Source organism: Homo sapiens, chromosome 5, assembly GCF_000001405.40.
Source record: "Homo sapiens chromosome 5, GRCh38.p14 Primary Assembly".
In the NCBI taxonomy this organism is placed as follows: domain Eukaryota; kingdom Metazoa; phylum Chordata; class Mammalia; order Primates; family Hominidae; genus Homo; species Homo sapiens.
The window spans coordinates 1225140-1247927 of NC_000005.10; the positions used below are offsets into that span (position 1 = coordinate 1225140).

The following is a 22788-nucleotide window of genomic DNA, read 5'->3' on the forward strand; positions in this document are numbered from 1 at the left end:
TGGTGTCTGCAACAAAAAAACTTGAGGCTGTCCTTGCAAACGGTCCTCATGGTGCTGGGGGTGGTGCCAGGCCCGGCGTTTGCCTGGAACACAGAGCATGCGAGAAGGAGCAGAGGACGTGGGTGCCAGGGAAGGACCCTGGCGTCAGAGCCAGGGCCTGGACCTGAGTTACCCATTAACGGCACTCCACTGGTTTTCCTTTAAAGAAATGAATAAATACAACTGCAGTGGGGCTGCTTGTGGTTTCCAAACGTCGGCAGAGGCTGGAGACGGCTCTCTAGTGCTGGGTGTGGAGTGAGGCACCACCCTTGCCCTGAAGCCTGGGGCACTCAGTCACCATGGCTCATGCCCCAGAACCGGACCCGGCCGCCTGCGACCTCGGGGATGAGAGGCCCAAGTGGGACAACAAGGCCCAGTACCTCCTGAGCTGCACTGGGTTTGCCGTGGGACTGGGGAACATTTGGCGGTTCCCATACCTGTGCCAGACCTATGGAGGAGGTAAGCACCCACCTGCGTCCTGGGGCAGACCCCTAAGCAGGGGAGGCCGTCTCCACCCTGACCTGCCAGGCGCCTGCCACGCATCCCCAGTGCTTGGGCAGAGTCACTCCTCCTGGAAACCAGGGTGCACCATTGCCCACGGCAGAGTCAGTCCCCTCAGGGCCCACCTGCAGTCTTCTGGGACCTCAGGGCAGCTTCACCACTGCCCACAGCACGGAGGATCCAGTCCCCTCGGGGTCCACTATGGTCTTCCGGGACCTCAGGGCAGCTTCCTGCCAGGCGTCAGGTTGAATGGGCCGCCCTGCCCGACACACACACCCTACAAACAGTGAGCGCTCTTCCATCTGAATGTCGTCAGTTCTTTAAAGAACACACAATCCGCTCTGGGTTTCCTCACCACAGCCTTGGTGTGTCCAGACATGTGCTCAGGTGCCCTTCTCCGAGGTTCTTTGCAGGAATTTGGGGGCCCACCCCTCGCCTCCCTGGCTTTGGTTCTCTGGGAGAGCCCTGTGGGGGGTGCCAGGATGTTCAGAACTGTCTGGGTGACTTTAGTGACCTTGGACTCACCACCCCCAGAAGTGCATTGGTGACTGAAATAGGCTCCCACGCACCTCGAGCCTCCCCTCACCCTGTGCCTGCTTCTCTTCATGCAGGGGTCACACTCTGCTCTCCATGTGGCGACACAGGATGTAGGGACAGGCATGAATCACTGCTCTCAGGGAGCCGACGTACAACATCACGCATGGACACCCAGGTCTTCCCCAGGCAACACGGGCAGGGGCTTCCCAGGCCGCAGGGTCCTCCTCAGGCCAGGCCGGGCTGCTTGGTCAGCCTGTTCCCCGGGCCCTCAGCTCCTTCCCTGAGAGCCCCGCACAACTATCCCTTGTTATAAGGTTACTCCTTTAAAGTGTTTTTCCTCCTGCTTAAGAAAAGATTCTCAACAGGCAGAAAATGCAGGAAATGCGCACAAATGGAAAAAACAAAAAGAAACACCCGTCACTGCCACCCTCGGGGCACTGGGGTCTCTTTGGGGCTTTGGGGCTGGAGAGGGTGCATTGGGCCTTGGATCTTCTCATCATGAGAGTCCCTTTGAAGGCATTTCTGAAAGCACCAAAGCCCAAGGGCAGAGGCGTCCCTGGCTCCCGGGGCCCTCGCTGCCTGTGCTGCGGCTCGATCTGCTAAGAGTCACCAGAGCATGCAAGGTTGTGGGGGCAGCAGGCTTCACGCAGAGCTGGAAATGCCGGCCAACGCTTTACCCACCAACGCCTTGTTCGCCAATGCCTTGCCCACCGATGCCTTTCCTGCTGATGCCTTGCCCAACGCCTTGCCCACCGACGCCTTGCCCACCGATGCCTTGCCCACCGATGCCTTGCCCGCCGACGCGCCCAACGCCTTGCCCGCCGACGCCTTGCCCGCCGACACCTTGCCCGCCGACCCCTTGCCCGCCGACGCCTTGCCCGCCGACGCCTTGCCCGCCGACGCCTTGCCCGTCGATGCCTTGCCCGCCGATGACTTGCCCGCCGATGCCTTGCCCGCCGATGCCTTGCCCACCGAAACCCAGTTACCATTGCTAAGCGCCTGCAGTGTACTGGAAGTGTCTGGCACTAGCCTCCCTTAAACTCAGCTGCTCCACGCTGGGGCAAAGCTGGGGAGGCCCCCACCTGGGGTGCTGCTGAGGAGGGAGAACAGCCCTGCCCGCCAGCTGCGCGGGGACTTCAGGGCTGCTCCACTCATGAACGACTCTACCATCAATCTCCTGATGCAAGCCACCGGGTTGCATGTCATGAAACATCCAAGTTTATTTAACTCACACACTTCCTAAGGGCCGTGCCATCAGCATTCTCACCCTGTGTGTGAACATGCCCTTCACTTTGTCTCGCTGTGAGGATCACTCATTGATGATTTTGAAAACAAGATATAATTAAGAAGCAGGTACTGTGTAGCTTTTAACATTTGCATATACTCATGACTACCAAAGGCGAATATTATTTGCTCTCCCATTCATAAGTATTCAACTACATAAATGTTCTCTTCAAAGCTAAGACTTGTAAAGCAACATTGTAACAGAATGTAGCAAAACGTTGCGGTAAAGATTTACAGTGATTTTCTCACACCTATGACATTTCATGGCAGCTGCTTTATTACACATTCAGCGTCTTTAAATCAAAGGAACGTAGACTCGTAAATGCCAAGCGATGGGTTCAGGCCAGCTGCCCGGGACACTCTAACACTTGCTGTGGTTTAAGGTTTCAACCCAGGAAGCTTTTATGACTAAGCTGGTGGCCCTGGGCTGGCTGTGTCCACACACGTGAGGTCACTCATCAAGCGCGCCCCCTCCCCGCTACTTCCTGCCTCCGGTGTTCAACCGACTTCTGTATCTGGTAGGTGCTGTTGAGATCTGTGGATTCTTGCACCAAAAACGACACTGTATTAATTACTATGGCTTCTTCGTTAGTCTCGACGCCTAGTAGTAGAGCAAGGCCTTTTTTTTTTATTCTTTGAACTTTTGCCAGCTGCTACTTTTCCTCTGAGCTTTACACCAGGTTGTCAATTTCCAGAAGAGATTCTTCGGCGCTCCCTTGGCCCTGTGCTGCTTTCTACACTGCCCGGGGGGAGTTTCCACCTTGACGGCCTTCACGCCTTGGAGGCAGTGCCCAGGCAGTGGGGGCTGGCACTGGAGCACCATCTGCCGTCTGCACCCTCGCGGCTCCCGGCTCGGTCTCCTTTCTGCCTTCCTGCGGGTCTCTCCATCATGACCCTGGGCGTGTCTCTGGTTGATTCTCAGCAATCCCTGGCTTTTGCCGCTGCTCTGAGCAGAGCCTGCTTCTCCTCTGCATTTGCTCAGTGGCTGCACTGCGGCCTCTGCATCTCTCAGCCTCGTGTGGTGGGGTGCAGGTTTCTCTCGATCCTGCGTGGATCGATTGTAACAGCAGCCAGCCGTTCACAGCCACCTTTCCCGTCTTCGGCAGACACCACTGCGTCCTCCATGCTTATGAACGACTGCTAAACTTCACGTAATTGTTAAAACTAGGAGCTGCAGCCTGGGCAACATGGCAAAACCCTGTCTCCATAAAAAATATAAAAATTAGCCGGGCGTGCTGGCGTCTACTTGTAGCCCTGGCTACCCAGGAGGCTGAGGTGGAAGGATGGCGTGAGCCTGGGAGGTCGAGGCTGGAGTGAGCCATGACTGTGCCACTGTACTCCAGCCTGGATGACAGAGAAAGATGCTGTCTCAAAACAAACACCCAAAAAGGAGTTGTGTAGACATTCTTACCATGTGGAATCAACGCTTCTTCTTCCTTCAAATTCGGAAAAAATGCATGGACTGACTGTCTCTTCCTGCGCATTCAACGTAAAGACTGCCCAGTGAGACCCGTGCCCACGCAGGCCGGGGAAAGTGCCCTCCGTGCTGGACTTGGGTTGGCCAACAGAGCCACCACCCCCAACCACAACACTCTGGTTGATTTTTTATCTACATTTATGCCCACGTGGCAGTCTACATACGGCTTTAATGCAGCCGCTGTACCACAGAGTCGACGTTCCTGTTTCGTGAAGATCCCAGCTGTGGCCACGATCTCGTATTCACAGAAAACCCTCTCATCTCCTCTCCCCTAAACACAGAAACCCTCAATTCACAGAAAACCCTCTCATCTCCTCTCCCCTAAACACAGAAACCCTCAATTCACAGAAAACCCTCTCATCTCCTCTCCCCTAAATACAGCAGATTCAGCTTCCCCAAATCAGTCACAGAGAGCTCACTTCTCCCCAAATCTTTCCCTTCGATGATCTTGTCAGGGTGGTCTCTGACAAACTGACCTCAGCCTGGTCACCTGAGGCCCCAGCCCAGGCTCAATGGCCCTCACCACAGAGCAAGGGTCAATGGGGCCCAGGGCACCTGCTGGCCTGGAGTCTGCAGTGCTCCCTGGACAGTGGATCCCATATCTGGAACCCGGAGCCCCTGCCCACCGCGACGTGGTGCCCACGCCACCCACATCTGTCCTCCACCCGGCCACTGTGCACCTGAGGCCTGAGTGTGGCCACGAAGCCACTACTGCGGGATGGGTGGCTGGTCACACACCAGCCTTGAGACCTCAGGTGCAGGCTGGAGGTCGGGGGGAAGAAGGCCTCCACGGTGCAGGCTGGGGGTGGGGGGAAGTGATGTTTTCACAGTGCAGGCTGAACAGGGGAAAGGTAAGAGGGGCTCTCACGGTACAGGCTGGAGATGGGGGAGGGGAGAGGGGCTCTCACAGCGCAGGCTAAAGGGAAGGGAAGGGAAGAAGGGCTCTCAGGTGCAGGCTGGAGGGGAGGGAAGAAGGGCTGTCACGGTGCAGGCTGGAGGGGAGGGAAGAAGGGCTATCATGGTGCAGGCTGGAGGTGGGGGAAGAAGAGCTCTCAGGTGCAGGCTGGAGGTGGGGGAGGGAAAAGGGGCTCTCACAGCACAGGCTGGAGGGGAGCGAAGAAGGGCTCTAACGGTACAGGCTGGAGGGGAGGGAAGAGGGGCTTTCACAGTGCAGGCTGGTCGTGGGGGAGGGAAGAGGGGCTCTCATAGCACAGGCTGGAGGTGGGGGAAGAGGGGCTCTCACGGTACAGGCTGGAGGTGGGGGAAGAGAGGCTGGCTTGGGGGTGTCCCCCCATTCACATGGGAGCCTGGCCCTGAGAAAGGCAGGTATGCTGACTCCCTGCCATGAGCTCCCTGGGGTGCCCTGGGTTTTGTTCCCTTTTGCTCCAGGCCCTGGCCACAGCTGTTCCCACCCTCCCAGGAGGCATCTTGGGGTGTCAGGTGCCTCCACCTGAGGCTGACCCCGTAGACCTCAGCTTCCCCTCTTCAATGCTTGTCTTTCTGCCGCTGTGTAAATGACACGGACAAGAGCCGTCCGGCCCCCACATGCTGGCCCTGGAGTCCTGTGCAGAAGCCAACAGGGGTGAGGGCTCACCTCCCACTCTAGGGCCTCCCTGTGCCCGTGGCAGTCGCAGAACATTCTCATGGTGACACAAACCCAGAGCAAGGCTGTGTTGATGACCTGGAAACGAGCTTCTAGAAGCCGGACCCTGCCTGGCAAAGTGGAGCTGATGGGAGATGCCAGGCGCGGAGACGCACGGCGGGGAAGAGTGTGGGCAGCCGGCACCCATGTAGGTCAGCGTCTTAGGGCAGAAGGCCTGAGGTCAGTGCCACCCCGCAGCCTGTCCCAGCACCTGTGCATGCAGGTGGGGAGGAGTCAACAGCCCTGGGCACAGACGTGGAGCTGCACAGAGACCCGAACTCGTGCACAGACGGTGACTCGCTTGGGGAACAGTGCAGCTGCCAACTCTGTGAGGCCACCAGGACTGAGACGCAGCATGCAGACACAGGGGCCTCTTCAGCAGCGTAGTGATGCCCATGGAACCAGGAGCCCGGGAGAACCAGCATCCTCCCAGCAGGTCTTGTAGGCAGCTGCTGAACTTAGAGGTCAAATTGCAGGAATCGATCATGCCCAGCTCTGCCGCTGGGGCCAGGAGGGTCTGTGGACTCCACGGGAAGCCAGCCCTGCTCGCATCCTCAGCACCAGGCCCTGGCACCTTGTCTGCCCCTTCCACTGCGGGTGCCCCAGGCAGAAGGCACGGCCATTCATCTCTACTGGGTGCTTCCACTAGCTCCAGGAAGTGGAGCCGGCCTGTTCCCCCTGCCCTGGGGCCTGTGGGGCCTTCATCCTGCCATGCCTATGGGCACCCCCATCATGGCACTGGATGGAGGTACAGAGGCCCGAGATGCCAGGAAGTGGGGGGACTGGTCCAGCCCTGATGCAGCTCTCAGAGCCTTGGTCTGAGACACCACTCTCCTGCGACATCCCCATGAGCAAAGATGGTTCCAGTTCCCAGGAGAGACCGCCAGCCGCCCCGGGTTCCTCGTGGGAACAGAGCAGCCCTCAAGCCGCCCTGGGGTCCCTGGGGGAACAGAGCAGCTCATGCCATCTGTTGCATGAAGCTCCAACAAGAGCAGCATGAAGCCGGGGAGCCAACAGGCGACCTCACACAAAAGCAGCCAGACCTCCTCCGGTGACTGGGGTGTTTAAAAAACATGCTCAGTCAGCACTTTATTTCTGCAGACTCATGAATTTTCAGAAACATCACGTTAATGAAAGGAGCTGTTTTCCCATGGGGAGGCTGATGGCAGAGGTTTTCAGTGTGATTCCGCCAGGCCCCTGCAGGCCTCCTTCCCACAGAGGCTGAGTCCCCACTGCCGGCCACAGCAGCCCCCAGGAAAAGGCAGGTGCCTCAAACAATGCTGGTCCCTCAGCAAACGCAACACAGGGGTCACGCTTAGACCCCAAGTCCTAGTCCAGGGCCGGCTGCCTCCTTTTGGGCCCCCTGCTCCCCTCCAGGGCCCTGCCCTCTTGATGAGAGGTCTCAGCAACCGAGCCAAAATCAGAGGCAGGGTTTGGCAACCCAACAGTGCCCCAAGGGTGTCTCCACCACCCAAGTGGTGCCCCCAACATTCAGGTCCCGTCTGCCCCTTGAAGACCACAGGTGGCTCCCCCTGGCCCACGCCACAGTCCCCCCCAGCCCCCGACCCTGGGCAGGTGCTGACCACCCCCTCCTCACAGGGGCCTTCCTCATCCCCTACGTCATCGCGCTGGTCTTCGAGGGGATCCCCATTTTCCACGTCGAGCTCGCCATCGGCCAGCGGCTGCGGAAGGGCAGCGTCGGCGTGTGGACGGCCATCTCCCCGTACCTCAGTGGAGTAGGTAGGCCACCGTCCTCGCTTGCCCTGACTGAGGCTGCCAGGGACAGGGCCCTCCTGGATGAGAGGTGGGGCGGGGGCGGGTCCATGCCTGTGGTACGGAAGCGGCCAGGCCAGGCCGGCGGGTGGGGTGGCAGGGAGCCCTTGGGTGTGTGTGAGAAGCAGCGGTGACTCGGGGAGAATTAGAGATGGAGAACATGTGTGCCAGGACATCCCGGAAGGACCTGGAAGCTGGTGTTGCCATTCACATGTGAGGTGTGAGGGAGGCCTGGCTTTCAGCTGCGCCCTTCAGCATGTGTTATTTTATGTTGTTATTTTGTTTTATTCTCACTGCTTCTGGGCAGAGGGAGCTGGGAAGGAGCCCCGGGGCCACCTGACATGGTCCCTGTCCACAGGGCTGGGCTGTGTCACGCTGTCCTTCCTGATCAGCCTGTACTACAACACCATCGTGGCGTGGGTGCTGTGGTACCTCCTCAACTCCTTCCAGCACCCGCTGCCCTGGAGCTCCTGCCCACCGGACCTCAACAGAACAGGTGAGCTGGGCGCCGCCTGCTGTGTGGGTCCGTGCACGGCCGAGAGAGGCATGTGCTGCAGCGTGTCCAGCATCAGAGCAGCTGCGGGTGGCGGATGCTCACCGCGGGGGGAGGGCCGGGGAACCGGTTGCTCTGTGTGCACATGCACGCGCCTCGGTCTCCCCAGGAGCACACGTGCAGTCCAGTTCTTATGACCTCCACGCTGTGCTGTGCTTCCCTGCCAGGTCCGGACCACCGAGGTCCCCTTGCAGCCATGTGCATGGCGTGGTCATGCGAGGGCACTGCTGTTGTTAGATTTAAGACGTTAGGTCGGACGCCGTGGCTCACGCTTGTCAACCCAGCACTTAGGGAGGCCGAGGTGGGCAGATCACTTGAGGTCAGGAGTTCAAGACCAGCCTGACCAATATGGTGAAACCCCATCTCTACTCAAAATACAAAAATCAGCCAGGCATGGTGGCGGGCATCTGTAATCCCAGCTAGCCAGGAGGCTGAGACAGAAGAATTGCTTGAACCCGGGAAGTGGAGGTTGCAGATAGCCGAGATCATACCACTGCACTCCAGACGGGGTGACAGAGTGAGACTCTGTATCAAAAAACAATCGAACAAACAAACAAAAAACAGACTTTGGGTCCAGACCTCAGCCAGGAGCTCCATCTGGGGAGATCCTCGAGACATGAATGACAGTTATATTTTCTTCTTTTTTTTTTTTTTTTGGGACAAGGTCTCCCTCTATTGCCCAGGCTGGAGTGCAGTGGTGCAAGCATGGCTCACTGCAACCTCCAACTCCTGGCTCAAGTGATTCTCCTACCTCCACTTCCCAAGCAGCTGGGACCACAGACAAGTGCCTCCACACTCAGCTAATTTTTTTTTTGAGACGGAGTCTTGCTCTGTCGCCCAGGCTGGAGTGCAGTGGTGCTATCTTGGCTCACTGCAAGCTCTGCCTCCCAGGTTCACGCCATTCTCCTGCCTCAGCCTCCCAAATAGCTAGGACTACAGGCGCCTGCCACCAGGCCTGGCTAATTTTTTGTATTTTTAGTAGAGACGGGGTTTCACCATGTTAGCCAGGATGGTCTCGATCTCCTGACCTCGTGATCCGCCTGCCTCGGCCTCCCAAAGTGCTGGGATTACAGGCGTGAGCCACCGCGCCCGGCCAGCACCCAGCTAATTTTATTTTTTGTAGAGACGGGGTCTCAATATGTTGCCCAGGATGATCTTGAACCCTTGGGTTCAAGCGATCCTCCTGCTTCAGCCTCCCAAAGCACTGGGATGACAGGTGTGAGCCACTGCACTCAACTGACAGTCGTATCTTTCAATGACTTGCTTAGGAAGCAACTCTGACTTTCTTTCCTTCCTGCCTTTTGCTAAAACTCACGCTGGGCTGGTGCTGGATGAGGCTGGCCTCAGGGACGAACACTGAGTCTGCACCTGGATGCCCTGGGCCAGAGCTGGGCACCCTGGGGAGGCCAAGAGCCCTGGCTGTGCCATCAGCCTCCTGGCACCTCTCTGAGGGTGGGTGGTCCTGCCAGGGTTCCTCCCAGCCACACTCCAGAAGCGGCCCCAGTACAGGCTATCTGCAGCCCGAGTTCCTGGGTGATGGTTTGTGGGTCCCAAATTCCTTCTACCTTGTCCAAGCGTTTACTTTTGGGGTCACTTAGGCCAGCCCTTTGATTTTCAGGCAGGCCGAGAGGAGTTAAGTCCTCTCTCAATGCACACGGCAGGGCCCCATAACTGCCCTTCCCACATCTGCCCCAAGCTCCACTGAAGGAAAATTTCCGAAGAAAAGGGCCCGGAGGGGCCAGCTCTGCCCATGCCCTTCCCTCAGCCAAGCGTGGGGCAGGCAGTGCCCACTCAGAGCTGGGCTGTGACAGTGCTTGATGTCAATGACTGGCAGGGCCTTAGAAGGAGACCTAGAAGAAGCCTTGGGGCCCAAGGACAGTGTGGAGGGAGGAGCCCTGTGGCATGGGCAGTGGCCCGGTCGGGATACCGGTAATCCTCAGACTTTTCCATGAGGGGCCCCCCACATTTCCCCAGTCAAGTGTCCCAGAAATGGGCTGCAGTGGGTCCTGAGAGATGTCACGGGAGCCTGCTGTTGTCAGACGCTGCCTCTGGATCCCTGCATCAGCCTGTGGCCCCGTCAAGGAGGAAGTGGGAGTCACAGGACAATCTGCCCGCCTGGCCACAGCCTCACTTTCTCCCCAAGCACTAGCCAGCCACACACTTGACACATGCAGCCGCTCTCCGTCCAGTGCTCCTGTGCCATCCTTGGGGGTCTGGGATGGTGGGTGGCAGGAGGAAGTGAGGGGACCAGCTTTACATGGTGACAGTGACGTCCAAGGGGCTGCAGGCTGCCCCGGCTCAGCAGGGCTCGTAAACCTTCGCAAAGTGGAGCTTCCCTTTGAGGTTCACTCAGCCTGTTCATTTTCACAGCCACGTCTGTTTCTCCATCTCAGCCCTGGGCCCAAAAAGAAGTGAAAGGGCACCTCAGCCCAAAAGGGCAGTGTTGTGAGCAGCCCAGGGAAATTGAGCTCAAGAGCCACATGGTGAGGGTGCCTACGCCCCACAGCCAGCCTGTGACAGGCCCCCTGGTTTCAGGGTTTGTGGAGGAGTGCCAGGGCAGCAGCGCCGTGAGCTACTTCTGGTACCGGCAGACACTGAACATCACAGCCGACATCAATGACAGTGGCTCCATCCAGTGGTGGCTGCTCATCTGCTTGGCAGCCTCCTGGGCAGTCGTGTACATGTGTGTCATCAGGGGCATTGAGACTACAGGGAAGGTGAGAGCTGGCAGGGCCTGATCCCCTCTCTTGCTTCCTCCAGCCCCCAAGACCCCTCCCCATTGACCTGTGTTCGCTTTGTGTCTACAAGCTCTTGCGAGGGGCATAAACATCTAGGATTGCAACGTCTTCTTAGGGAATTGATCCCATTATCACTGTGAAGCAACCTTTTTTATTCTGGTGATATTCTTGGCTCTGAAACTGACTTTGTTTTAAAATAGCCACTCCAGATTTCTTTGGGCTATGTTAACAGAGTGTATTTTTTCCATCCTTTTTCTTTTAAACTTTTTGTATCTTTATGTTGAAAGTGTTTTTCTTGTAGACAGCATACAATTGGATCTGGCTGTTTTAACCAATCTGACAATCTCTGCCTTTTATTTGGGGTGTTTAGAGCATTTACATTTAATGTGATTATTGATATGGTTGGGTTTAGCTCTGTCCTCAGATGTGTTTCCATGTGCCCCATCTGTTTTTTTTTATTCTTGTTTCTCTCTTTCTCTAGGTATTTTTCAGGATCCCGCTCTATCTCCTTGGTTGGTTTAGCTTTAACTCTCTCTTGTTATTCTAGTAACTGCTTTAGAGGTTACAGTCTACATCTCTAGCCTGTCATGGTCTATCATTAAGTGATCTTGGGGCATTCTATGGTCATTTAAGAATCTCATTGCATTTTATCCCATTTCCCTTCCCAGGCTTTGCGCTATTGTTGTCATACATTTTGCTTATAACATGTTATATAAACAGCAAATGCATTGTTATCAGTTTAGTTTTAAACAAGCGATTATCTTTCAAAGAGGCTTAAATAATGAGAAAAACTGTATTGATGTTCAACCATGTGGTTTCCATTGGGAGCAGCAGAAAGGACCAGTAGAACCTGAGCCTCCTGCTTGCCTGGACCCCTCAAGCAAGAAGAGTTCTTACCCTGTATTCTCTAGTGTGTGCTATCATCTCCAGTCTGGTATCACACATGTGTGGATTCTTTTCAAATGACGGTGCTCAGTCCATGCACCCTGGACCGTGCCTCCTGACCCATGGGCCACAGACACAGGACCCCAGTGCCCCATGCGCTGTGCAGTGTCTCAGGACGCCAGTGCCCCATGTCCTGTGCAGTGTCTCAGGACGCCAGTGCCCCATGCCCTGTGCAGTGTCTCAGTGTGCTGAGGTTGTCATTCCTCTTACATGGAGGGTGGGGGTCTTCATGCTTGAGAGGACTGGAATTACTGAATTAGACAAAGCAGCCAGCCAGAAATTCCAAATAATCCTATTATAAAGGCCCTTAAAAATGCATCCCAAGCTGGGCACAGTGGCTCATGCCTGTAATCCCAGCACTTTGGGAGGCTAAGGTAGGTGGATCACATGAAGTCAGGAGTTCAAGACCAGCCTCGCCAACATAGTGACACCCCGTGTCTACTAAAAATAAAAAAAAAAAAAAATTAGCCAGCCGTGGTGTTGGGAGCCTGTAATCCCAACTACTTGCGAGGCTGAGGCAGAAGAATTGCTTGAACCCGGAAGCAGAGGTTGCAGTGAGCCGAGATTGGGCCATTGCACTCCAGCCTGGGCAAGAGAGCAAGACTCTGTCTCAAAAAAAAAAAAAAAAAAAAAAATGCATCCCAGGTGATTCTGCAGTCAGTCTGTATTGGGGGAACTGAGGAGAGGAGTGAGAGAGGAGTGTCCATTTATGCTCTTCCATGTGGATGTCTAGTGTGTAGACCCTTGTCTACAGCTGATGAGAAGTGGGAAACAGCTCTATGTGGGCAGAAGGGGTACAGGGTAGGTGCAGCCAGGTGGGGGCATCGAGGTGGGAGGAAGAAGACTCTGGCCACACAGAAGGGCTGAGAACTCGAGAGTGGACAGGAGGGAGGCCGGAGAGGGGACCAAAGCAGGGAAAGGATATGGTCAGAAACGAGGGTGACCAGGAGAGAGGCAAGTGGAGGTGGGTGGCTTGGGAGAGGGAGGCCAGGGAGGGAGTTTGGCCCAGACCCCTCTTCAGGGCCCAGCCCCTTTGCTCAAAGGAGGCCTGAGTCTCCCAGACAGCCAGTGCTCCATGGGGCACAAACATGTAAACGAATGTGCATGTGACTGTCTCTGGTGAGCCCCAAACCCTCCGAGCTTGCCCTGAGCCTGCACCCCACCATCCCCCAAGGTGCACCCCCATCCGTCCTGGTCAATCCCATACCAGAGGCAGCCACTCTGACCACAAGGGCGGTGTCTGGAGCCTGCCTGCTTCTCTGAGGCTTGTGGACAGACCAGAGGCCATTTCAAGTCTCATGACTCCACCTTTTGTTTCAAGGTGATTTACTTCACAGCTTTGTTCCCTTACCTGGTCCTGACCATCTTTCTCATCAGAGGGCTGACCCTGCCAGGGGCAACAAAAGGACTCATCTACTTGTTCACTCCCAACGTAAGTGGGTCTTGGATCAAAGTTCAGGGCCTCCAGCACACACATTTCAGGGCTGTGGCCAGCAGCTCCCTCCCTCACCTGGGAGCGTGAGAGGCCAGGAGCCACTCCAGCAGCTGGGCTGCCTGGTGGTCAGGGGTGAGGTTGGCCCAGGATGGCGTGGCGGGAGGGGGGCCTTAGGAAAGAGGTCAGGTTTGGAGTGAGCCTGGGGCCTCAGGAAAGAGGTCAGGTTTGGAGTGGGCCTGGAGGACTCAGGAAAGACATCAGGTTTGGAGTGAGCCTGGGGCCTCAGGAAAGAGGTCAGGTTTGGAGTGGGCCTGGGGCCTCAGGAAAGAGGTCAGGTTTGGAGTGGGCCTGGGGCCTCAGGAAAGAGGTCAGGTTTGGAGTGAGCTTGGGGCCTCAGGAAAGAGGTCAGGTTTGGAGTGGGCCTGGAGGACTCAGGAAAGACATCAGGTTTGGAGTGAGCCAGGGGCCTCAGGAAAGAGGTCAGGTTTGGAGTGAGCTTGGGGCCTCAGGAAAGAGGTCAGGTTTGGAGTGAGCCAGGGGCCTCAGGAAAGAGGTCAGGTTTGGAGTGAGCCTGGAGGACTCAGGAAAGAGGTCAGGTTTGGAGTGGGCCTGGAGGAGGACTTCGGTCTGGGGCAGGTGGACTTTGGCACCTGTGGGACACCAAGTGGACATGGATGTGAGGGGTCAGGGGAGGAGGGACAGGGTTCTGGGAGAGGCTGGCTGGGGACTGGATGTCCCTGCTCTGGGCCCGACTCCACCAAGGGCCTTGTCCAGCTGCATGCACCCCATTGGGAAGCCACAGGAGCCAGCGCCTGCTCCAGGAGCCTGCACGGCTTCTAGAGCATTCTGTACTATCCCAGATCGCGGCACTCCCTGCCCAGCATCCCGAGGCAGTTTCCAGGGGCTGGTGTGGGAGTGGGCACCTGGGTATGGGCATGTCTGCCCGGAGTCCTAGCAAAAGACAGAGGACACCTTCCCAGGCCCCAGAAGCAGAAAAGCCAGGCTCCGTGCATGGCATCCCTGCCCTCGGGGCTTCAAATCACCCAGAACCGCCCGGTTAGAGAGGGCACAGTAAACATGCCCATGCAGGAGCTGCTCAAACCCATCTCCAGCCCCAAAAAACCTGCCAGCTACGTTCTCATGTGCGCCTGACAGCCACCGGCTCATTCGGCCACATCCCGGACAGGGGCCTGGCATTTGCCGTGTACAGAGCTGCCACTCCACACCTGCACACCTGCGTGGTCCTACCCTGTTCCTGGTGTCTGTACAGGTCACACTTGCTCACGAGTGTCCCCAAAGCCACCTTGGGAACGTTCTGGAACAGTCAGGGCCACCAGCTCATGTGGTTTGCCTGCTGAGTGAGACGCTCTCCCTGACTCATTCCAGATGCACATTCTCCAGAACCCCCGGGTGTGGCTGGACGCAGCCACCCAGATATTCTTCTCTCTGTCCCTGGCCTTCGGAGGACACATCGCTTTTGCAAGTTACAACTCGCCCAGGTAGGCAGTCGGGCTCAGCTGTCCAGCCAGGGAAGCTTTGGGGAGACGCCCGAGCACTTCCTGATCTCAGGATCACACTGTGGATCCAAGGGTGGCCTTGTGTGAACCTGAGATAAGAACCTCACGCCACAGTCTGGGCCCTCACGGCAGCTCCCAGCACGTCCGGAGCTGGCTGCAGGAAGACAGCCTGGATAATCACACCCAGGAACCAGGGTGTAACTGGGCACGATACCAATCAAAATGCACATGACACGTGGGGCCATAAAAGCCTCAATGGTCACCTGAAATAGACTCAAGGCCCGTTGGTGCCGACATGAGCAGGTGCTGCTTTTATGATATCTTAATATGCACAGATCCCTACAAAGTGCAATTCCACGGATCATAAAGTGCATAGCCCAGTGCACTGTGATGAACCTGAAACAAGCCTTATTTCCCGTGGCTGCCAGTATTTCTGCCCCCTTCGGAGGCAGGCAGTTTGCATGAGATGGGAGAGGCAGGTTGGTCCCTGGGCAGCTCTGCCCGCTGGCGGCCTTTAGGGAAGGAAGTGCCAGCTGGGACGCCAGGGAAGCTTTAAATGTTTGTGATCGACACCTTACTTCCTTGAACTCACACTGGAGCTGCACTTGTGTGCGTTTCTCCTTTGGAGATGATTTTCCAAAACATGTACATTTCAGATCCTCTATGAATGCCCTGCCTCTCAGCTCCCTGTGGGCCTAAAGGCCTTGGTGGGGGTGTGAATGGGTTTCAGACCCTTAGCAGCCTTGAGCTGGGGCTGCTGGAGTAGACTGTTGGGGGGATCTGAGGCCATTCTGAGACTCCAGGACTGGCAGCAGCAGCCCTTGGGTCAGAGAAGGGGCATCCCAGGCGGGAGAGAGGGTCAAGGAGGGAAGCCCCCTCCTCACTTCCTCCCCTGGATGAGGCCCAGTTACCTCCTGCAAAGCCTGTGATGAGCGTGCGTTTGTGCCCAGGAATGACTGCCAGAAGGATGCGGTGGTCATCGCCCTGGTCAACAGGATGACCTCCCTGTACGCGTCCATCGCTGTCTTCTCTGTCCTGGGGTTCAAAGCAACTAATGACTACGAGCACTGCCTGGACAGGTGAGCACAGGTGCCGCGCCTGGCTCTGTGGGGCACAGCCGCCAGACAGGTGCCTGCCGCACCGAGAATCCCAAGGCATGAGGAAGGGTGGCGTGGGCACATTTCATTTCTGTAGGGGTGTGGAGTGAATGGTGTCCCCAGAAGGTCACTTCCACCCAAAACTTCAGAATGTGACCTGGTTGGAAAAGGGTCTTTGCAGATGTAATTAAGTAGGATCGGTCTCTCTGGAGTAGGGTAGGCCCTAAATCCAATAACCACAGTCCTTATAAGAAGAGGAGACAGACACAGAGGAGGAGGCCACGTGAAGACAGGCAGAGGTCGCAGCGCTTGTGGCCACAGCCCAGGGATGCCTGAAGGTGCAGAAGCTGGAAGAGGCGGGAGGAGTCTCCCGTGCAGGCTCAGGAGGGGCGCGGCCTGGCCACACTGGGATTTCAGATGTCACAGTACTCCGGAACGGGAGAGGATGATTTCCCGTGGTTTTGAGGCACCATTGCTGGTCGTTTGCTGCGGTGGTCCCAGGACCTGATGCAGTTAGGTTGTCCCCTGCACAGGCAGCTGCCTCGTCAGACCCACGGCCCTCTTAGAGCACCCAACTTGCTTGTGAACTACCTTCAGGTGGGTCCTTGAGAACCCACTGGGCAGACAGCACGTCCCTGCAACATGGGGTGACTCTGACCCCACCAGGGTACATCTGGCAGTATATGGAGACATTTTTGATTGGCCACACTTGTGTGAGGGGTGTGCCTGGCATCCAGTGGGTGGAGGCCGAGGATACCTCGCAGCACCCTACAGTGTCCAGGACGGCCCCACCCAGAGAGTGACCAGCCCTGAGTGTTCCAACCCCAGCCTCCTGTGCTTGGGAGCAGGGCAGCACGTCAGCACTGCACCTGATGGCACTTTTCAACGGGGACGTCACCAAGAAAACGCACACAAAAGTGGAAAACATGGCACTCACAGGCCACAGAAGGGACAGTGTTTTACAGGATGAGCCGGGTCAGGGAGGACGGTGATTTATAGGATTTACAGGATGAGCCGGGTCAAGAAGGCAGAGCTGGGCTTTGTTCAGCCCCAGCCGGGGACGTGCATGGCGGGCAACTCTGATTTCTGCTCACTCTGAATGTCGCAAGTAACTGTAAAAGTGCGCAAATATTGACGGGGTTACAAGCACATCTCAATGAGCAGGCGGATAAGGACCAGCCGTGCGCACAACGCCCTGCGCCGTGCAGCCCAAGCTGGCCTCGTGTGCCACATGGGGCTAGAAGTGAGGGGAGCGAGGTCTCTCTCTTCAGGATTGTTCTAGGAATAGCTGGAGCCCCAAAAAGGTGTTTGCTGGTATCCATGTGTCCCGCCCTTGGCTGTCTGTGCTTGAACCTTAAGCCCTGAGGACAGAAGGAGCCTTTGGCAGTGGAGACAGAAGGGTGGGCGGGTGGGCTGAAGTCCTCCCAGCAAACCTTCAGAAGCCCAGGTCCTTGTCTGCAGGGCGGCCCCACAGGGCGAATCAGGACCCACCTTCGAAGTGAGGAAGCTGCCACCACCCCCACCCCCTTTGCACCCATGGGGGAGTGCTCCCCTTCCAAACCCAGGGGGGTAGAGAACAGCTTCTCCCCTCACCCGGCAGTGTGCATGGAGTAAACCATGCCCCTACCAGTGCCGCCCTGTCACAGCACAGACGTCCACACGATCCCAACAGGGGCAGGAGGCGTCCACACGATCCCAACAGGGGCAGGAGGCGTCCACACGATCCCAACAGGGGCAGGAGGCGTCCACACGATCCCAACAGGGGCAGGAGGCGTCCACACGATCCCAACAGGGGCAGGAGGCGTCCACACGATCCCAACAGGGGCAGGAGGCGTCCACACGATCCCAACAGGGGCAGGAGGCGTCCACACGATCCCAACAGGGGCAGGAGGGGCCCACACGATCCCAACAGGGGCAGGAGGGGCCCAGCCCTCCCAGGGATGCTGTGCTTCGCAGCACCAACCAAGGGTTTCTCTGGATGTGTTTGGGAACCAGGGCCATGAGCCCACAGTCCTCTCTGTCCCCGCAGAAACATCCTCAGCCTCATCAACGACTTTGACTTCCCAGAGCAGAGCATCTCCAGGGACGACTACCCAGCCGTCCTCATGCACCTGAACGCCACCTGGCCCAAGAGGGTGGCCCAGCTCCCCCTGAAGGCCTGCCTCCTGGAAGACTTTCTGGATAAGGTACCTGCACACCCCCTGGGGTAGCCAGGCAGGGCCGTCCACAGGAGCACCAGGGCCGCACTGGCTGTGTCCCACTGCCAAAGGCTGCAAACAATTCCCACAGACCCAGGGCCAGGGCCTGTGAACCAAGAACCCCAGTCTATCTTTGTCTCAGGTTGCCAGGCCTCCTGGAAAGCCCGAAGTCCTGGGGGCAGCTGTGTCCAGCAGACGCTGCACCCAGCAGTCTTGGGGGTTGGGCTGACCCGAGAGAGTGGGCATTGCTGGTGCCCAGACCCCAGGAGAGGGGGTGGCCAGCATGAGGGTCACAGTGCCAGGGCATGGCTGGGGTCAAGCCACACTCAGGGCCAGTGTATGCCTGGACCTAGGGGCACCAGGCAGGGGGGCACAGCCAGGAGGCAGGTGTGGGATGCATCTCAGGGTGCCTGACTCTAGGCATAAAAGGCGCTGGTTTCTAGGCCCAGCTGCCTGCTGTGGGTTATTAAAGGGGAAGGACCCTCCCCTGCAGAGTTGCGCTTGCAGCCTCGTCTCCCAGAAGGCATGGCCAGCCCTGAGCCACCTCAGCCCGACACCAGGAGGGGTGATGTGCACTCGTGTCCTCGGCCTGGGAGAGTGTGTGTCCTGCAGGCAGGCGTGTGTGTGTGGTGGAGTGTGTGTGTGCGTGGCCTGAAGCCCGGGGCTCCGTGTATTGCAGAGTGCCTCGGGCCCGGGCCTGGCCTTCGTCGTCTTCACGGAGACCGACCTCCACATGCCGGGGGCTCCTGTGTGGGCCATGCTCTTCTTCGGGATGCTGTTCACCTTGGGGCTATCGACCATGTTCGGGACCGTGGAGGCGGTCATCACACCCCTGCTGGACGTGGGGGTCCTGCCTAGATGGGTCCCCAAGGAGGCCCTGACTGGTGAGCGCACAGCTCCGCCGCCCTGGAGGACCCGTCCCCAGCATCTGACTGTCCACTCCCGCCCGCTGTCCAGACGCCCCTCCTGGATGGAGAGCGCAAGGGGCCAAGCCTGAGTTCAGGGAAAGGCTGAGCCAGGCTACTCCTTGCTGACAGCCATCAACGGAGAGCCGAGGGTCGAGGGAGGGTCAGGGCTGCCCCTCCCCCACGGCCCCGGAGGCCACATCCCCCATCTGGAGCAGGAAAGCAGGTCCTTCCTGCTCCTTGAGCACAATACAGGAAAGAGACTGGGGAGGGCAGGGATGGAGGGTGGGAAGCCGAGAGAAGTCTCCAGCCCAGGTGCCCTGGCCCTCCCCGCTGTCCGAGGGCAGGTCTGCCTGGCTGGCTTCCTCCTGACCCTCCCCACACCTCCACTCCCCATCCCCTTACCCCCCACACCCCTTTCCCACTGCCCCAGGGCTGGTCTGCCTGGTCTGCTTCCTCTCCGCCACCTGCTTCACGCTGCAGTCTGGGAACTACTGGCTGGAGATTTTCGACAATTTTGCCGCTTCCCCGAACCTGCTCATGTTGGCCTTTCTCGAGGTTGTGGGTGTCGTTTATGTTTATGGAATGAAACGGTGAGCTGCCGCCCCGCCGAGTGCTCCTCTGGGACCCACCAGGGTGGGACAGGGAATGGCTGCCGGGCACAGGTTCAACCCGCAGCTGCCCAGACCGCCGAGAATGTTCTGCCCTGGGGAGCTGCCGAGGCACCAGAGGGTGCAGGTTGGACCCCAGTTAGGGTCCGATCCTCGGCTTGGAGTGGGTGGACCTTCCACAGACCATGTGAAGCCTGAGCCCAGCATCTGGTGCAGGTTCTGCGATGACATTGCGTGGATGACCGGGAGGCGGCCCAGCCCCTACTGGCGGCTGACCTGGAGGGTGGTCAGTCCCCTGCTGCTGACCATCTTTGTGGCTTACATCATCCTCCTGTTCTGGAAGCCACTGAGATACAAGGCCTGGAACCCCAAATACGTAGGTCCTTCCGGTGGGAACCTGGGAAGTCCTGGGACCCCTCGGGCTTGGTCTGGCCCCTACGGTGCCATCCGGTGCCCGACGACCCATGCGGTGCACATTCACGTGCTAGTGACAAGGTGGCGTGGTCACTTCTGCCTGGCAAACTGGGAAGCCAGGGATGTGAACAGGATGGGCTTTGTGCAGCGCCCGAGTGCCCGCTGGGATCAGAAATGGCATGGGGGTGACCATGGGCAAGCGCCTGGTCAGTGGAGTGAGGACCTGAGCAGTGCCCAGAGCCCAGGGACCCCACAGGGCCCTGGAGCTCCTCCTTGGGGATGTGGCTTCATCCTCCCTGCCTGTGTCCTGCCCATGTGGCATGGGGACGGGCAGCCGGACAACGGCCCATTCCTGGTCTGTGACAAGAGAGGTTGTGCACAGACCCCTACTGCCACCCAGTGGGTCAGTTTGGCTGGAGGCCGTTTCCACACAAAAGCCTCCCGAGGAGAGATCAGAGTGCCAGCCACACTCCGAAAACGCCTCAGGGGCTCCAAGCAGCGCCAGCCCCTGACATACCATCTGAGTCCCCACTGGTGGCCGCTCAAAACCTCACCATGCCACCCCTTCTCGGGAATGTGGACGCCACTCCTCTCCAAATGTGTCTTGGAAAGTCCCTCCGTAGCAGAACACCAAGGGCAGGTGAAGGAGGAGTGACCATGTATTTTTGAAGAATTTCCACGGTACCTGCAGCCGGGTGGGTGGTGCCACCCAGTGTATAGGGGAGAAAGCTGGGGACACGGCCTCCAACGACGCCCAATGGGTTGAGGCCATGTAGCCCCTCTGGTTCCAGAACACAACACCTAGGCCTACCTCGGGGAGGCCCCAGCCCCAGGAGAAGCTCAGCCCAGGTCCCCAAACTCCTGGCCCGGAGGGGCGGTGGTGAGCGGCCACACGGCCTGGCCACTGCTCTGGCCGTGCCTTTTCCATTCCCATCCAAGTCCGGGTGGGCAGGTGGCTCTTGCCCCTTGGATTGAGGAGCACGGGGGTCAGCCTCACGGCCCAGGGTGGCCGGCGCCAGCTAATGAGGCTGTGGTCCCGCAGGAGCTGTTCCCCTCGCGTCAGGAGAAGCTCTACCCGGGCTGGGCGCGCGCCGCCTGTGTGCTGCTGTCCTTGCTGCCCGTGCTGTGGGTCCCGGTGGCCGCGCTTGCTCAGCTGCTCACCCGGCGGAGGCGGACGTGGAGGGACAGGGACGCGCGCCCAGACACGGACATGCGCCCGGACACGGACACGCGCCCAGACACGGACATGCGCCCGGACACGGACATGCGCTGAAGCCGGCCGGAGCGGGGCCTGCATGGGCGGGTCTGTGGGGGGGCTTGGCCTGATGGTGGGCGGGGCCCCGCCCACAGGGCCGACCCCAATACACCAGCGACTCAACCTTGATGCCGCTGTGTACGTGTGGTTACTGCTTTCCTGACGCCCGGGCAGCGCTGCTGCTTGGGGCCCGCCCCTAGGGAGGTCTCGCAGGGCCCCGGCATCCCTGCTGAGCCCGCGGCCTGGGCGTCCTGCAGCGGCTGAGGTCCCTGCGCTTGGCCGGGCTGGCTCAGGGATCTTCGCAGGTGCGGGGCTCCCGGTCTCACAGACTCTGAACCTAGCCTGGCTGGTCTCTGGGGAAGAGCGGCCGCCCGGGTGGCTCAGGGGGCCGCCTGCACCCCGGCTCCAGGTCCCAGGCGGGCTGTCCCCCTACAGCTCGCAGGCGGCAGGGGTACCCAGGACAGATGCTTCCTCCCGCCTGGGAGCGGGGGCCTGGGGTCTGGAGTCTGCGGTCTGGCTGACCCTTCCTGAAATTTCTGAGAAACACTGTAGGTTGCCACTTTTATTTTCCCAAACTGTCAAACTGTATTAAGGAGGTACCAAAAGGCTCCTGCTGTCCCGGGGCAGAGGGGCGACAGGCAGGAGCTCGCTCACGTGGGGCAGTCACCCGCGCCCCGGGCGCCAAGCGCACTGTGCAGCCCCCGTCCAGCCCGCCCTGCTCCAGAGTACCCCGGCTCCAGGCGCCACGCGCGTGCTTCCCTCCTCCCTCTCCCTCTGTTCCCTCCGCCCTCCTCCTCCCTCTTTCCTCCCCATCCTTTTCCCTCTCCTCCTTCCCCTGCAACAGCACCACGGAGCCAGGGATCAGGTCTCTGACTCGCCACACGGAGGGAGGCCCCGCAGGTCCTGGCTTCCTGCCGCCGGGAGGGGCCCTGTGAAGACCCAAGGCACCTGCTCCCGCTTTGGAAAAGGGCGCCTGGCCAGGCAGCACTGTCCGTGGTGCTGAAAAATCCCAGCATCAAGGCGCGGCCGCGGTGCCAAGCGTCCATTACACGCATTCTTGTTGGGAACCCGTCCTTGACCAAGGCCAGCCCAGAGTAAACAAAAGCACGTGCACCGCTACCCACCTGCAGATAAGCTGAGTGCTAAACATGCAGTTAACGCCAGTGCACCCCACCCAAGCGCATCCTGAGCCCACAGTGGGGGAAGCTGCCCACCTAAACGTGTCCTGAGCCCACGGCAGGGGAAGCTGCCCACCTAAGCGTGTCCCGAGCCCACGGCAGGGGGGGAGCTGCCCACCTAAGCGTGTCCTGAGCCCACGGCAGGGGAAGCTGCCCACCTAAGAGTGTCCCGAGCCCACGGCAGGGGAAGCTGCCCACCTAAGCGTGTCCCAAGCCCACAGCAGAGGGGTGCTGCACTTCGTCCCTCCGTCCTGCAGTTGTGATGCCCCCCACACCGGTGGTAAGGCAGGGGGACTTGAGGATGAACATGTCACAAAGCGAGTCAGTCCACTGTGAGATAAGGCTGCTGCAGAGGACAGTCTGGCATCCCCCAGTTCAGCCTCACAATCTTGCCACAACTCCATGCCTTGGGCCTAATAGCCAGCCTCTTCCATTGTAACTGACACAAACAAACTCAAACCAAATGGCCTTCACCAGCTCTCAGAACTGGCCAAGTTCAGGGTGGGCTTCAGGCCCTACTGGACCCAGGAGTTCACAGGATCCATGGGACTCTCTCCCCACACTGTTCAGCTTTTTTAAGTAGGGCGTCTCTGTGACCATTCCAAAATCCTTTTGGTTCATGATCTGGGTGAGATGCTCCCCCTTCAGAGTCTAGACACGAAATTGCAGGGAAAAGTGATTGCAGAGCC

General features: G+C 58.6%; 1 protein-coding gene across 1 annotated transcript, besides 1 other annotated feature; it reads left to right on the forward strand.

Moving 5' to 3' along the window:
- On the forward strand, nucleotides 242-21050 carry SLC6A18 (solute carrier family 6 member 18). Its single transcript, NM_182632.3, has 12 exons — nucleotides 242-498; nucleotides 7080-7220; nucleotides 7612-7749; nucleotides 10342-10523; nucleotides 12811-12921; nucleotides 14311-14423; nucleotides 15392-15520; nucleotides 17568-17724; nucleotides 18416-18620; nucleotides 19075-19234; nucleotides 19469-19628; nucleotides 20709-21050. The coding sequence occupies exons 1-12, from the start codon at nucleotides 339-341 to the stop codon at nucleotides 20937-20939; spliced, it is 1887 nt and encodes a 628-aa protein (NP_872438.2). The 5' UTR covers nucleotides 242-338; the 3' UTR covers nucleotides 20940-21050.
- Nucleotides 636-1178: an enhancer, noted in NCBI's record as "H3K4me1 hESC enhancer chr5:1225890-1226432 (GRCh37/hg19 assembly coordinates)". NCBI's record gives its function as "activates a minimal SCP1, AML or CMV promoter by ChIP-STARR-seq in primed H9 embryonic stem cells {active_cell/tissue: H9 hESC(primed)}" and the evidence as "EXISTENCE:reporter gene assay evidence [ECO:0000049][PMID:30033119]".
- Nucleotides 21051-22788: the final 1738 nt, after the last annotated feature.